The 15,485-nt window shown below is 39.2% G+C and overlaps 1 protein-coding gene across 1 annotated transcript, besides 4 other annotated features; it reads right to left on the bottom strand.

The window, feature by feature from the left end:
* Positions 1 to 9,674: 9,674 nt before the first annotated feature.
* Positions 9,675 to 12,295, bottom strand: PRMT6 (protein arginine methyltransferase 6). Its single transcript, NM_018137.3, has one exon. It carries the CDS (start codon positions 12,251 to 12,253, stop codon positions 11,126 to 11,128), a length of 1,128 nt encoding a protein of 375 aa, NP_060607.2. The 5' UTR covers positions 12,254 to 12,295; the 3' UTR covers positions 9,675 to 11,125.
* Positions 11,494 to 11,703: an enhancer, noted in NCBI's record as "active region_1417". NCBI's record gives its function as "activates an Ori minimal core promoter by ATAC-STARR-seq in GM12878 lymphoblastoid cells {active_cell/tissue: GM12878}" and the evidence as "EXISTENCE:reporter gene assay evidence [ECO:0000049][PMID:35858748]".
* Positions 11,714 to 11,843: an enhancer, noted in NCBI's record as "active region_1416". NCBI's record gives its function as "activates an Ori minimal core promoter by ATAC-STARR-seq in GM12878 lymphoblastoid cells {active_cell/tissue: GM12878}" and the evidence as "EXISTENCE:reporter gene assay evidence [ECO:0000049][PMID:35858748]".
* Positions 11,854 to 11,993: an enhancer, noted in NCBI's record as "active region_1415". NCBI's record gives its function as "activates an Ori minimal core promoter by ATAC-STARR-seq in GM12878 lymphoblastoid cells {active_cell/tissue: GM12878}" and the evidence as "EXISTENCE:reporter gene assay evidence [ECO:0000049][PMID:35858748]".
* Positions 12,014 to 12,063: an enhancer, noted in NCBI's record as "active region_1414". NCBI's record gives its function as "activates an Ori minimal core promoter by ATAC-STARR-seq in GM12878 lymphoblastoid cells {active_cell/tissue: GM12878}" and the evidence as "EXISTENCE:reporter gene assay evidence [ECO:0000049][PMID:35858748]".
* Positions 12,296 to 15,485: the final 3,190 nt, after the last annotated feature.

Genomic DNA, 15,485 nt, shown 5'->3' with positions numbered 1-15,485 from the left:
TCTCGATCTCTTGCCCTTGTGATCGGCCCGCCTTGGCCTCCCAAAGTGCTGGGATTACAAACGTGAGCCATCGCACCCGGCCAATTTTTGTATTTTTAATAGAGACAGGGTTTCACCATGATGGCCAGGCTGGTTCGAACTCCTGGCATCAAATGATGCGCCCACCTTGGCCTCCCACTGTGCTGGGATTACAGGTGTGAGCCACTGTGCCCAGGCTGTAAGCTTTAAAATAAATATTTATTAATATTAATAATAAAGAATAAAAAAATATTTATTAAGAAAAAATCAATCCTTTAAGAGAAGAGAAAATGTCAGACTATGTTAGAAATAATATTTATTCATCATTACAAAGATTGCATCAAAGTTGGCTTGGGCAGAAAACAGTTTGAAACAATGCTTTTTCTGGTTGGGTGCCAAACACTTTGGGACACTGAGGCAGGAGGATTGCTTGAGCCCAAGAATTTGAGACCAGCCTGGGCAATGTAGTAGACCACCTTTCCAAAATAATTTAAAAATAATTTTAAAATAAATATGTTTTTTGAATTGCAAGCATTAATGATAAATTTTGTTTGTTCTGCTTTAGCTCAGACATTTTATCTCATCTCCTGTATCTATCTTCTGAACATCTGTTGAGTTTCCAAACTCCTAAAATTTAGTGAGAACATTACTTATGCTGTAGTCTGCCACTGTTGTTTCGATCCTCTCCAACATTCTCTACTCCTCTTGCATTTTCTTTTCTAACTTAGGCCTTTTTTATTTCTCTTTCTTTTACCATGAAAATCTACCTATTGCTGTTTTCCATATATTTTCTTATATGTAGCTTTCTCTCTTTCTCCCATCTTACCTATTATTAAAATTATACTTTCTTATATTTCTGAAATGCTGAGGTATGTGTGAAAATCATTGATTCAACTTATGCTAAAAGTGAAATCTAGTAGTATTTAATACATGGATTTTATGGTCTTGCATTGAAAAGAATCTTTACCTCAAGTTGTTTAAAAAAACTCATAAATTTCATAGGGATTAAGTATCTGAATTAAAATTAAATAATGAAAATGGATGACAATTTGGGAATATGTCCCTCACCTTTGGATTAGGAGAAGGCTTTTTAATTAGAAAAGAAACTGATAAGCAATAACAAACAAGATTAATAGATTAGAGTAATAAAAATAAAAAAGTTCTGAATGACCAAATATTAATGAAGTAAAAAAAAATCAAATGAAAGCACGATAGCACGTGATAGACTATGCCTAATAAACAAAGAGCCCCCAATAGCCATAAAATCCAATAGAAAAATGGGTAAAGCAAGTAATATATTCACAGAAAAGGAAATATAAATGGATAATGAATATAAAGAAAGATGCTCAACCCACCAGGAGTTAGGGTAATAAAAACTAAAACAAGAAGCTAGTATTTTTTTGCCCATAAGATTAACATAAATAAGATTAATAAAATCCAGGTGAGTGGGTGTATCACAAAACAGGCTTTCTCTTATATCCTTGTTAGGAATGTGAATTATATGACCCTTTCGGAAAACAATCTGCCAGGATTTACTAAAATTAAAAATAAGCAAATACTTAAGGGAGTCTAGCCTAAAGATACAGAAATATCAGTACACAAAACAATAAATTTTCATACCATAAACTTTCATATTGCTATTATCAATAACAAGTTATTTGTACATGTATTGAGTTCTTGGGATACTTAGTATGTGCAGAGTTAAACTGAAAAAAAAACAACTTCCAGAGTAACATGAATTATACGTTTCCATATTTGTAAAAAATTATATAAATATTTGTATGTAAGTTTATGTAGTGGAAAGATATACTGGACTGTGGAAATAGGGAATTATTAACTTTTTACTTCCAAACAATTTGTTTCATTCGCACTTTATTAATGCAGCTTCAAAAACCTAATGAAAGAGGGACATAAAACAAATGTGTCTGCAACTATTTTAGAATGTAAAGGAATCTTAAAAAGGACATTTACCACTATAGCCATATCCTATCAGTGTTCCAATTACATTGCTTTATATCCTTTGCTTTTTTCTTTCTTCTTTTTCCCATATCTGCTCCCCCAGTGCTTTCACCTCAACCCTCAGCACTGCACTGGCAACCCTTTGTTGGGTGACTGTCCTTAGCCTGTGGAAGCTGCGATGCACATTCATGTAGAGAGCCAGGAAACTTATGTCTCCCCTGGGGCAGTCATTAACGAATGACTGGCAGGTGAGAAGGTAGGAATGTTCCAGATTTTTTGCTTCTTCACTGATACATTCTGAGGCGTGATCCATCCTGTAGCCAGAGTATCTCTGTGAGACTGAACATTTCTTGGGAATTTGCTCGATATCACACTCTAGCCTGGCTTACCATTCCTAGTCTCATTTGCCAACTACCCTTCTGCCATTTTTTTGGAACACTTTTTGATAACACTTTTACATGTATCCTTATCTCAAGGTTGGCTCCTGGAGATTCTGACCTAAGACAATGATCAGTCGGCTTTAAATGCCTACAGATGTCACTTTAACTCTTGAGAGCCCAGGTATCATGGTTAGGTCATTTACTTACACCACGGCCTTGGACAAGTCACCAAATTCCTTCATCCTTTGTTTTCTCATCTGTAAGATAGGATTGATAATAGAACTACTTCATGGAGCTATTTCGAAGAGTAAATAAGATAATGTGCTTAAAATTTATCTAACACATTAGGCACTCAATAATGATTTAAAAAATTAACAAAGATGCTTTATACAAGTATCATGACTGCTTCTCTCTAGGTAGGTTGAGGCCTGTCTGACAAAAGGAGGCATTTCCTTTAAATGGAAATTTATAATAGATTTGGAGTCTTCTTTAGAATGAAAATCACTCTTTATAGAACATTATTTTATTATGTATAACTCATGTGAAGTAAATAAAGTTAATATACTATTGATTTTAATGGAACTTTGCATGGCTTGATTAATATACCATTATTGCATAAAAATATTCTACATGCTGAGTAGTAGTGGCTGCATTAGAATATTGTTTGGTATAAAGTTTCACCATATTCTTTTTTCACAACCTATCCCAGCGAATGCACTATTATTTGGTATAAAATAAATCAGATATAGTGAATAAAAAAATGAAAAATTATAATCCATTAACAGACATATCACATATGTTATCACTGAATAATATATCATTTTAATGTTTTAAATAACATTACTGTTTATGGGGATAGTGCAATGACCACATCCTCTATGTCTGGTTTTAATTTTTAGAACTTTGTTTATAGTAACTCAATCATTTTATCTCCTATCTGTATATGGATTTACCATTCTGAAACTTTACTATAATATTTTTCTTTGACCCAGTGCCAAGGTATTAATTTATATGTAAACCTATCTTATAATAATGCCTGGGCTCTATGAAGTATCTTTGGTTGGGGTTTAAAGCAAAGCTAACTAATATTTAATTTTATTTTTACAAAAAACACATTTCCCAGTGATTTATATTTTCATTTTATATTAAAATCCTCTTGTAATTGTTGTCATTCTCTCCTTGCTTTCCTCTAATTATTTTGCCTAGAGTAAATTCTTAATTATTCAGTGACTGGATATTTAATCTGCAGATTTTCCAAATACTCTCTTTTTAATTCTTTTACTGTTCATTCTAAAGCATTTAAATGTTTTTTATTTTTATAATTTCACCAGATGATAAATGATGGTAGAGTGAGAAGTTCATATTAAAATAAGCAGTTTGCCCTTTTAATAAAGATTTCTGGTAAAAAGTTTGATGCCAATGAGTGCATAAAATAAATGTTTTAACCATTTGTGGACTGGAATCCTTTCACCATCCTATAAAACTTAAAGTCAAAACTCTATAGTTTGCTCTTAGAAAAATTTTATAATAAACATATTACCTTTAATATATTAATATATGTAATTAATATATAATATATAACATAATAATTTTACCAAAAGCAAAGTTGCAAGTGTTAAAAAGAAAGCCTAATAGTCACACCACTCCACACCACATACTAAACTGCACACAGCTTGCAATAATGGGGAGTGGAAAGTTTTCTTCACAAATTTGAGAGGATTAAGTAGTTCTTACATAGTAAAGTCCTTGTATAGATTTAGAAATTAAGCTGAAAAGTGAGGTTAAGGACAATGTCAAATATCAAAATACGCAACAGTTATGTCAATCAAAATACTGTTATAAGCCCATGATTTAAGGAAGAAGAAAATTACCTGAGGAAATTGTGACGTAGGCAGAAAGTATGCATAGGGATCCTACTCATCATTTATATGCTTCTCTCACTCACTTTAGGCTTTTTTTTGGCCCCAAGATGTTTTTATGTCACCCTGCGACTGTGGAAAAACAGCTATTGTCCCCAATGCCCTCTATCAAACTACCTTTTGAATGCAGGTAACTGTACTTAACTATTTTCCTTTCACTCTACACAGGTCAGAATTTGTATTCTCCCTTCCTATTAACTTTCCTGTTGACTAAAATAACAAAATTAATGCATACTAAAGTGTGGTTATAACCTTCCCTTCCCTTCCAGAAAATTTTAAAAAAGATTTTTAAACCCAAATGGAATTCTGAATTATTTAGTTTCTAGAAATTTCACAAAGAACAGAATGTTTCGTTACAATGCGTGTTTCCGTAAAAATAATGAAGTCAATTGGCAAGTGGAATGACATCACTATAGAATGTAGTGTTAGCACCACCAGGTAACAGTCGCTGAACACAAAATATATTGATGCAATTGAATGCAGCACCCTACTTCTTCCTATTGGCTCATTCTGTCTTAGAGATGTTTATTAAGCCTTCTCTCTGTCTTTGTGAATTTTACTTTGTATAAGTCTTCCTTATTTCCTTCCATCAGGCTATTTTTATTTATATTTACTGCAGTGTTTCTTTATTAAAAATTTATATTTCTTAACAAGTTTTATTAAAATTGCTATTATTTTGTTAGTACTTTTTTGAGACAGGGTCTTGCTCTGTCGCCCAGACTGGAATACATTGGCCCGATCAAGGGTCGCAGCAACCTCAACCTCCTGGTCCCAAGCTATCCTTCCATCTCAGCCTCCCAAGTAGCTGGGACCACAGGCATGCACCACCATGTCTAGCTAATTTTATATTTTATTTTTTGTAGAAATGGGGTGTCTCTGTGTTGCCCAGGCTGGTCTTGCAATCCTGGGCTCAAGCAATCCTCCAGTCTCGACCTCCCAAAGTGCTGAGATTTCAGGCCTGATCCACACCGCCCACTTGTTAGACTCTTGGTTACAAAGTTACATATGTTTTGATGGTTCACCAAACCCATTTTTCCCTTAAGCTTGTTATTTTTATTGAATAATTTTGCAGAATTTTGGGGGTTTTTCAGGAACATATATCACATGATTATAGGAGTGTTTGTAAAGTATTTCAAAAAGTGTGGGGAAAATATCCTTCCATCCTACCTCTTCTTTTTGTCCTTCCTTTCTTGCAGGAGGCAGCCTAGAGAGAGAGACAAAGGAACTTTTTTTCTTTCTCTCAGCTCCCTGCATTTTAAGTGTCTGTTATAAGGGTTTACTCAGTCAACTAAAATCATGTGCCTTCCCCTACAGTTATTATCAATAATGATAAACTTAATTACCAAAGGTTCCAAATGAGTACAATTCCGATGTCACTGGTCATGTCTTAAATTTTACTAAAATTCTCTTAATTTTAATCAGGTCCAAGATTCTTTGTTTCAAATGTCTTTTTCTATGAGCATGTATAATATTTTGAGAAATAGTCTCCTTGTATCATCTTCTTCCCTATCACTTAAATTGTTTTGACACATTATGGAAGAGGTTTGGAAGTCTGTAACTCTCCTTACTGTTGTGTTTAAGATTTTAATCAGGGCCTGTTCTAGGCTTAGAAAGTCCTGCAGAACATTTAGTTTCCACAAATTGTCTTCATGTCTCAGATTTTTCACATAGTCTCTTGATTCTATAAAATGTAAAATGCTATACATTTGGCTAAAAGGATGAGATCACATCAGTTACCCATCGATATGAACAATGTGATGAGACACCACCTTTTGTAGGAAATAATGGGGACATATCTCAGAGTCTTCTGGCCTCCTTATCCTCAGAGCTTCTGCGGGTATTCCAAAAGGTAGGAAGATATTTTCATGCCAAAAAATTTAGAAGAGAATAAGGTTACACACGTTCCAACAAAACACGTAATATTTATTATAAATGACAGAAGATAAATCAAGAAAAAAAATTGGAGTATAGAAGTGGAGCCAGATGTAAAGTAAAAAAAAGCACAGCAAAGCATAAATTTGGCTCAGCTCTCTAGTAGCCTATGTGAGAAGGGTCGTCTATGCAATATACTGTGTTCATTAGCTGAAACAAACCAGTTATTTAGAGGACATAGACTTACTTTTGGAACTAATAACAGAGAAGACTTTTTCTCTGAGGATTTCGTGATCTATGTGATAAGTAATATTTTTGCACTTGGGAGTTTTTTGCACTAAGGATAAGTGGGCTGGCTCTTCTCAACCTTGCTTCAACAGATTTAGTCGGAATGATGTTGGGACTCAGCAAATACCCCAAAATGAAGACCTTGGAAGCAAAAGTGTTTCTCTGATCTTCTCTTGCCCTCCTGTTTCTCAGTCCAATTCTCCCCTTAGGCTAGCCATAGAAACTAGAATCGCTTTTCCCCAAGGCAGGTCGTAGACACCAGAACCCCCTTTCCCCAAAGCCAGTCATAAGACCTAAAATCATTACTCACATTCCCTCTGCCTTTCTATATAAAAACTACTCATAAAGAAATTATGTGACCTACCTTCTTTGACTATGGGTTATAAGACCCTCATTCCAGAGATGGTGTTGCCTCACACCAAGAAGGAGGGAATGCATGCTCAGAGAGGCCAAGAATCTAGACAGACAGGCCCTGCTGGGATCCCCTGCTCAGTCTGTTAGCATGAGATCATACTCTTTTTGTGCAATCATATTTCTAAATAGTTATCCGTATTTTATTGAACCTCAGCATAAAAATGGACACTTTCTCCTGTATCTTTGGGTCTTCATTCTGAGGGCTCCCGTGTGTACAGATTATATAAATTTGTATGCCTTTTCTCCAATTAATTTGCATTTGTGAGTTGACTTCTCAGAGAAACTTCGGAGGGCCACAGAGAACTTTTCCCTTGGCCCTGACAGTCTTTCCAGGCTAAGGATGCAAATTACTGAACTGATATAGGTAATTTTATTTCCCATACTGTATACTAGTTTTTAGAGGGTAGGATTTGCTTATGATAGAACTTGAATGTTTTATAGTTGGTGTTTACTAAATCATGAAATGAATGGGTAAAAACATGTACATATGGGAGGAGGGGGGCCTCCTTGACTGATTCATCTCTCCTCAGCATTGGGTGGTATAAAGTGTGAAGATGCTAACAAGGATGGCTATAAGCAAAACGTTAGCCAGTTTTGTTTGCTGGAGGTGTCTTTCATACTCACCTTTTTTTCACTCCTGCCCACTTTTAGCCTCATCAGATGCCTCTGCTCCTCAGCACCAAGCACCTGTGAGTTCATCTACCTTTGCTACTATTTTGAGGAGTCAGTTTTCTGGGGGCCTCAGAGAGTGCCGCAATTGACTAACTGTTGGGAAAATTGGTATGGGGGTATTTATGTCAATGAGTGCCTAGTAGTTGTCAAGTGTGAGATCCTATACACTGAAAGTGGTTCTTTGAGGCCTATGAGATACATCTTTAATAGAGACTTCCTTAAGCTAAGGATGTTTCCCATTCCTTCATTCATCAAACAATAAAAACTGTTGTCACTCATTCAGGAGGTACGTACTTCTGTGTTTTATTTTTTTTTATTTTTTTGAGACAGAGTCTTGCTCTGTCACCCAGGCTAGAGTGCAATGGCACTATCTTGGCTCACTGCAAGCTCGGCCTCCCAGGTTCACGCCATTCTCCTGCCTCAGCCTCCCGAGTTGCTGGGACTACAGGCACCCGCCACCATGCCCGGCTAATTTTTTGTATTTTTAGTAGAGACGGGGTTTCACCGTGTTAGCCAGGATGGTCTTGATCTCCTGACCTGGTGATCCGCCCGCCTCGGCCTCCCAAAGTGCTGGGATTACAGGCGTGAGCCACCGTGCCCACTTCTGTTTTTAATTGAAGCAGGCAAGATTAATATAATAAACATGTGAATTTTTGTTTGGAGTTAGGAATTAAAAGCCAAGAATTAGCTATGTAAACTTAGGCCAAGTCCTTCAATATCTGTATAACTCTTGTTCCTGGTATGTAAATTGAGTTAATTACTTGCCCTTTCTAACACCAAGACCATCCCAGTCTTTAGCCCATTATCATTTATTGTACTTACCATTTTATCTTATGAACATATCATTTGAAGGAAGAAACTGTGTTTTGTTGGTTTGTATCCTAAATGCTTATCACAATGACTGTTGCATTGTATACTCAATAAAATGTCCATTGGTCCAATGAATTAATGAAAATATTTGTAAACTTTCACAGCGCAAAATAAATGTAAGTTGTTTGAGGGAAGCAGGTTGAACTTTACCATGTTTTCCTCTCCTTTGGGCCTGGTAGTTCCTGCCTGTGGTCCAATGGCACCAAGCAGTCAGTACCAGTCCATACAGACAGATTGGACAGTGCCTGGATGTTGATACATCTTACACCTTCATCCTTCTGGAGGTGTCCTCACTCCAGAGGTCTTGAATTCCCTTTGGATCATTTGGTGTACAGTGTCATACATTGCTCCTCACGTACAACCACATACTGTTGAATACCTGTAAAAAAAATCAAAATGTTGAATATTTATTCTGTCACACATTTTGCATGCATCCAAGTGCTCCAGGTTTGACTTTTCCCTAACTACCACACTGAGGCTTTATTGAGATCTTATTACATACCAGACATTATGTAGTCACATGTATTAACTCATTCTATTCTCACATCTATGACATAGGTACTATTGTTATCTCCATTTTGCATACGAGAGGAATTTCCTCCATTTTGAAGGAAAAAAAGGTGTTTAATATTTTGCCCAAGGTCACAAAGAGTGGTGGAGCCTAGGTTCTACTATGGGCTGTCTGGCTCCAGAGTCCAATTTTGTAGCCATTATGTTATGCTAACTCTTGACTAATTGCTTCAGTCGCTGTATTTTTATAATTCATTTTTCTTCTGGGAAGGAGTAATAAAAATCCTGAAGCTTACTTTAACTATGGAATACATACCCTTTACTTCTATAGTTCCTCCAAGTTTTAACTGAGGTTCCCTTTATGTGCTTATACTGATAATGATAACTCTATAGTATTTATCAAATATATAAAAAATAGAATTTGGAAGAATATTCTCATTTATCACTTAGTAAAGGAATTGTTAAATCAAGTTTTTTTTAAAAAACAAACCAAACCACCAGAAACCTACTCAAAATCACACACTCAAACTCTAAATAAATATTTGATTTAAAACATAGAACACCTTATAAGGAGCTCTATTTTCCCTCTAGCTTAAGTCTAGCTTGCTGTGACTGTAGCATTTACATGAGATGATCACTATCTTAGCATCAAAATGGTGACGGTTACAACTGTACTGCTTGCTACTCAATTATCTTGTAAATTGATAATTTTGTACATGTATATCTCTCCATGATGGAAGATCTGTGTTATATACAACCAAAGTTTAGCAAATTAGTTTTTATACTCTAATACTTTAATATGCAATGAATAAAAGGGCAGAAAATTCAGAATTACAATAAATGTTAGGCTATTTCAGAACACCAGTTTTTCACACCTATTTTCTTAGCATACAGAAGCTCGAAAATCATACATTAAGCATAGTTTGAATTGTCCTGAAGTTATATTCTGAAGGGGCTGTAACACTTAAGAACTAATAATATTAAAAAGGCAAAAGCATTATAACTCACAGCACACAAGACTTTTTACCTCATCTATAAAACGTGAGAATGTCAATGTTTTATTGGCTACAAGGATAAGGAAGGAAACATCAGAGAAATAAATTTGATAACAAGATTCACACTTCATTACAAGTGATTTTCCTAAATTCACAACTTTCACATTTGGCTGAGTGAAAGAGAAAAACAAAACAAAACAAAACAAAACTGAAAAGGGAACTTTCACTACTTGTAAGTAGGCCAACTCACATGATCCCTCCAAATGAGAGAGTTTAAATGAGAATGAGTATACTTTTCTAGCTGGGAAAATATTTTCCTTAATTAAGTGAGTTTAAATAATTTACCCATGGTGATGAATAAGCCCTTGGGCTAGGCTCAGAAACCTCCTCTACCAGCCTGTTTCATAAGAATTACACAAATATTTTTATGGGACATACAAGAAATATTTTTTGGTTATAATAGTAGAGACAAGAATTTTTAAAAATCCATACTATTTCTTTCAGGTCTCTCTCTTAAATGCACCTTCTGAGTTTCTTAGGTATGCTGTACAATTACAAAGTCCATTTTACTTAACGGATTAATGTGTTCATCAACTTTAGCACCCTATGATGTATGTGGTCAGAGTAATGAGAACAGGGCTATTTAAACTGCTTCCTCATATCCTTCCCCTTAATTACCAGTAGTGAAGTTTACCTAGAAAACAATGAGGAAGAAGTACCATAGCCTACAGGCACCTAGGGAGGGGGAATTAATTCGGACTGAGAAAATATGGCTCTGGAGAGATACTAAAGTCGTACTGGAAATGTATGAAGTCTAAATGAACCCCTTTCTCCCCAGCTTCAGACTTAGATAAGGTGTGAGGTGTCAGGGATGTGCATGGACCCTTCAAAAACTGACATTTTCATCCGTGTTCTTCCCCCTCACTCCCCCGCGAAACAAAATATACGGAAATACAAGTGCTTGGTACTACATGCTTTTGAGGCTAAATGCCCAATAATAAGCACGCTGTATCCGTTGTTGAGGGGGATCACTTTTTAAGTAAACATCACCAGAAGAATCTCTTCAAATGGAGAATGAAGTCACTCTCCCTCCCTAGAGGCTATGAGGGAAAAGGGGGAGATATTCCCCCTACTTGCACGTGGGATCTCCCTTTCCCCTCCGACCTCGCTACGCCTCTCCCACGCAGGTCAGGCTGCTTTGGGAGGTAGCTGGGAGAAAAGGCAACGCTCAGTCCTCCATGGCAAAGTCTTTGGTCTTCTCCTCCTGGTCTCCCACTTTGTAGCGCAGCAGCACGCGCAGGCGACGGGGGTTGTCCCGGGAGGGCAGCAGCGTGATCTCTCCTGAAACGTCCGTGTCTTGCTCCACTTGCACCGGCTCGTTCAGGTAGAGGAGCGCCTGTTTCCAGTGAGTGGCCGGGTGAAAAGGCGAGGTGGACAGCACCAGGGGTTTCTCCGACTCCCCTCCAGGGAAGGTCACCTGGAACCAGATGGCAAAGCCATGCATGGGCGCCGAGCCATAGCAGCTGCAGCGGAAGCGCCCGCCCACTCCGGCCTCCAGCTCCTGCTCCAAGCCGGCGCGGGAGAGCTCTAGCTGAGCAAAGCGCTGCGGCCGGGCCAGCACGTCCTCGCCGGACAATCCCTGCACAACGATCTCCGAGTGGCCCATGAGACAGCGCGTGGCGAAGCCCTCCAGGCAGCTCATGTCCACACCATAGTGCTGCTTCACCTGGCTCCAGAAGCCCAGGCGCCATTCCAGCATCTGGTCGCTGATGGGGGCTATGAAGAGCTCGGCGGAGGCCGGCAGGAGAAGACCGCCCTCCTTCAGCCACTTGGTTCGCGCGTGGAGGACGGAGCTCAGCATGGACTCGTGCAGGAGTCCGTAGCCCATCCACTCGCTCACGATGGCATCCACCTGTTCCGGCAACTCTACAGTCTCCACTGGTCCCGGCAGGACGTGCACCCGGTCCTCCAGCCCGTTGAACCGCACCACCTCCCGGGCCTGTTGCCAGATGGCGCTGGCCTCTACCGCGTACACGCGCCGGGCCCCGGCCTGGGCACAGAAGATGCTCAGAATGCCGGTGCCCGCGCCCACGTCCAGTACCGTCTTGCCTCGCAGTGCTGCCCAGTTCCGAAGGATACCCAGGCGGTAGGCATCGGTGCGGACGCGGTCCGCGATCATCTCCTCGTGGACCGAAACGTCCGAGTAGCACTCGTAGTACAGCTGGTCCCGTTCCCGCTTAGTCCTCCGGGGTCGCTCCAGGGCCGCCTCCCGCTCCGCGCCATCTTCCTCTTCAGTTCCCTCCCCTCCTTCGCCGCCGCCCCCCGACTCAAGCTTTCTTTTCTTGGGCTGCGACATCTTGGCCGCTCTGCCCGGCTCCCGGCGGGCGTAGCGCGGCACGGCGCGGGCTCCAGGAAACGGGGGCTTCTGGGACTTGTAGTGCGCGCTCGTCCTTCCTACTTCCTGCGGGGTCGCCCGGCCGGCGGCGCGGAAGGTCTCCTGTGCCTGCTCACGGGAGCTGTTTTGTATTGCTCTTCTGGTGTCCTGGCATCCCTTTTCCCACCCACGACGCCCACATTCTGAGATCCTTTCATTCCCCCTCCCACCCTTAGCTCCTCAGTTTTTTGCTTTCACTCCCTTCCTGAAGTAGGCACGCACACTTAAGACTAATAATCCACCTTTGTTTCTTCTGCTGAACTCACCTCTGTTTTTTTTGTTTGTTTTTCTGTTTTTTGTTTTTTTTGAGAGGGAGTTTCGCTCTTGTTTCCCAGGCTGGAGTGCAATGGCGCGATCTCCGCTCACCGCAACCTCCGCCTCCTGGGTTCAAGCGATTCTCCTGCCTCAGCCTCCCGAGTTGCTGGGATTACGGGCGCATGCCACCAGGGCCGGCTAATTTTGTATTTTTGGTAGACGGGGTTTCTCCCTGTTGGTCAGGCTGGTCTCAAACTCGCGACCTCAGGTGATCCGCCCACCTCGGCCTCCCAAAGTGCTGGGATTACAAGCGTGAGCCACCGCGCCCGGCCTAACTCACCTCTGGTTTTATTCCACCGAATTAACATGGCAGCACCATCCACCCACTACCGCCTTAACTGGACAATTGTAGCTCTTAAAGTGCTCCAGCTGTGGCAATTTAGAAACTGCACTACGCATTTCTTTTTTCTGTTTTCAGTGCAGTTAGAGTGCAAATGTAACAAAATTAAAACCTAACAATGCAAAATCTTGGTTCTGATTCCAGTATGACCACTAATTAGTTGAGTGATTTAGGGCAAATAATAGAACTTCTCTGGCCTTTAGTTGCCCATTCACCCACCAGCGAATCTTCATTGCAGTTGGGGAAGAACTAGGTTTCTGGTTCTACTTAGAAGAATAGTTACTTGGCTTTCGGCTCTGCTCTGATAATTCTGTGGCTCTCTTAAGAGTTAAATCCTGAAAAGTGCAGACTCAAGAGCCATGTGATACAAGCAAACTCGTTGCTAGGTGTATTCTATATATATATGCGTTTTTTTCTCTCAGAAATAACGGAATCAATTTCTTTTAATCACTTTCTCAATGCAATTCATTTTTTCCTGTGTTTTCTTGTCCGGGCAATATTGACACTCTCCTCTTTCTCTTATATTTTTCTTGTAGTCAACCATCAGCTGTTACTCTCTTTTTGTTGTCCATAATGGAAATAAAATATGTTTTTAAATATGTGTGGCATCTGTATGGGTGTCCGTGTTATTAACAAGGTGGGCATAATGCCATTTTCTGCCAGCTTGAAAAAAAAGTCACTCAGAGTAAAATGGATTTTTATTTTCTTGTGGTCTTGAATTATGTCCTTGTAACCAATAGGCCTGTATTCCTTGTCTGGGATCAAAGTTCTTTCATCCTATTTTCTCTATTAATCTTTCATTAGCAGAATAGGTTTATTGATATGGCATCCTTAGCTGTACTCTACTTCTAACTCAAGACTCTCCATCCTGGCTGCTTATTAGAATTCTCTAAGGAGCTTTTTAAAAAATACCGATGCCTGGGTCTACCTCAGACCAATTAAATCGGAATCACTCCAGTGGAACCTGGGCTTCTAGTTTTTAAAAGCTCCCCAGGGAATTCTAATGGGCAGCCAGGGTGAGAACAACTGTTTCTCACTAAAATGATCTTAGTTAAATCTTGCTTCGTTATTTTAATTGGGTAAATTGTATTTTTTTCAGTGGCCTGGGCTCAACCATTTAAGGCTAAAAACCTTGAAGTATTTCTTCTCTTTTTCTGCCTTGGTTTAATATCTTATTTTAAGATAATTGAGGCCCAGTGTAGGACATCAGATTAGAGTTGTAAATGTGACCACTTTAATATGTTACTTTTATTAATAGGTTGTTACTTAGTGTATACTTTTGCCATTCTTTCTTTCCTCAAAATGTCACCTTTTCCTTTTAAATACATTCATTCCTTCACCCAATTTTCAATTCACTTCCTTATGGTCTCTTTTAAGAAAATTCTGAATATAAGTTTCACTGGTTCTACCTCCAAAATATATCTTGAATCCATCTGCTTTTCTCCATTTCTATTGTCAACACCCTAGTCTAATCTTCCATATTGACTTGCCTGAAAATTAGTCTCCTAAGGGATCGCTCAGCTTCTAATCTCAACCCTATCTAATCCCTTCTCTACATAGCTGAAAGAATAAGCTTTTATAAAACCCATTGGGCCATGTCATTCTTCAGTAACTTCCCGTGTTAGTTAATGGAACAATTCAGTAACTTCAGGTAACTTCCCATCTCATCTCATACCATTTTTCCCAACTCTTCATTGGGCTCAAGATATACTGGTTTCTAATAACACATTTCTTTCCTGTGTCAGGTCGTCATGCATACTCTTCTGGTGCTGAGAAAATTGTTTTTCTCCTTAGCACTTCACTTTAGTGGCTTCTCATCCTTCATGTCTCAACTTAAATGTTACCTCATGAAAAAGGCCTTTCCTGGCTTCCTTAAATAATATTTTCAAACCCAAGACACTATTTTGTTCCCTCCCAGCATTCATTATTATCTGTATGTATTTAATTAATTTATTTGTTTTCTATACAATATCAACTCCAGGAGACTTGGACTTTTGTATTCCCACTATTGCAGTCCTTAGCACTACAACAGAAGCTGGCACATAGAAAGTGCTCAATAAATAGTCTTGAACAAAGTCTATTGTGGATGTAGAGAGTTTTGCTTCATTAGTTCAATGTGACAATGTGACTTGGTAAACTCTGAGATAGATCCAGATATAGATAGAATGTGGAATGCTCCCAGAAATGAGAATAGTATAAATTTTAAATACTGTTAATGCTTCTAGATAGAATAGTGGTAAGCACCAAACATTATCCCTAGAGCAGATTAAAAAAGGTCTGTGGCACTTTCCTTTCCTGCCCTTTTATTTGATATAGAGAAGGAGTTCTTTACTGATCTTTTGTACCACAGTGAGATGTTTTAAGTAGGAAAGGGACCTAGATCATAGCCCTTCCCTAAGCCGTGCGGCTCAGCAGCAAACCACCTGCATGGGAGAAGAGTTGGAGTTCTGCTGGCAGAGCATTCTTAGTATTTTCATTTCAGCGATCTGCTTGCCACGT

The sequence above is a fragment of the Homo sapiens genome, chromosome 1 (genome assembly GCF_000001405.40).
Source record: "Homo sapiens chromosome 1, GRCh38.p14 Primary Assembly".
Taxonomy (NCBI): domain Eukaryota; kingdom Metazoa; phylum Chordata; class Mammalia; order Primates; family Hominidae; genus Homo; species Homo sapiens.
Note: the sequence above shows the minus strand (reverse complement) of the source record. Positions and strands in the feature narration are given on the sequence as shown.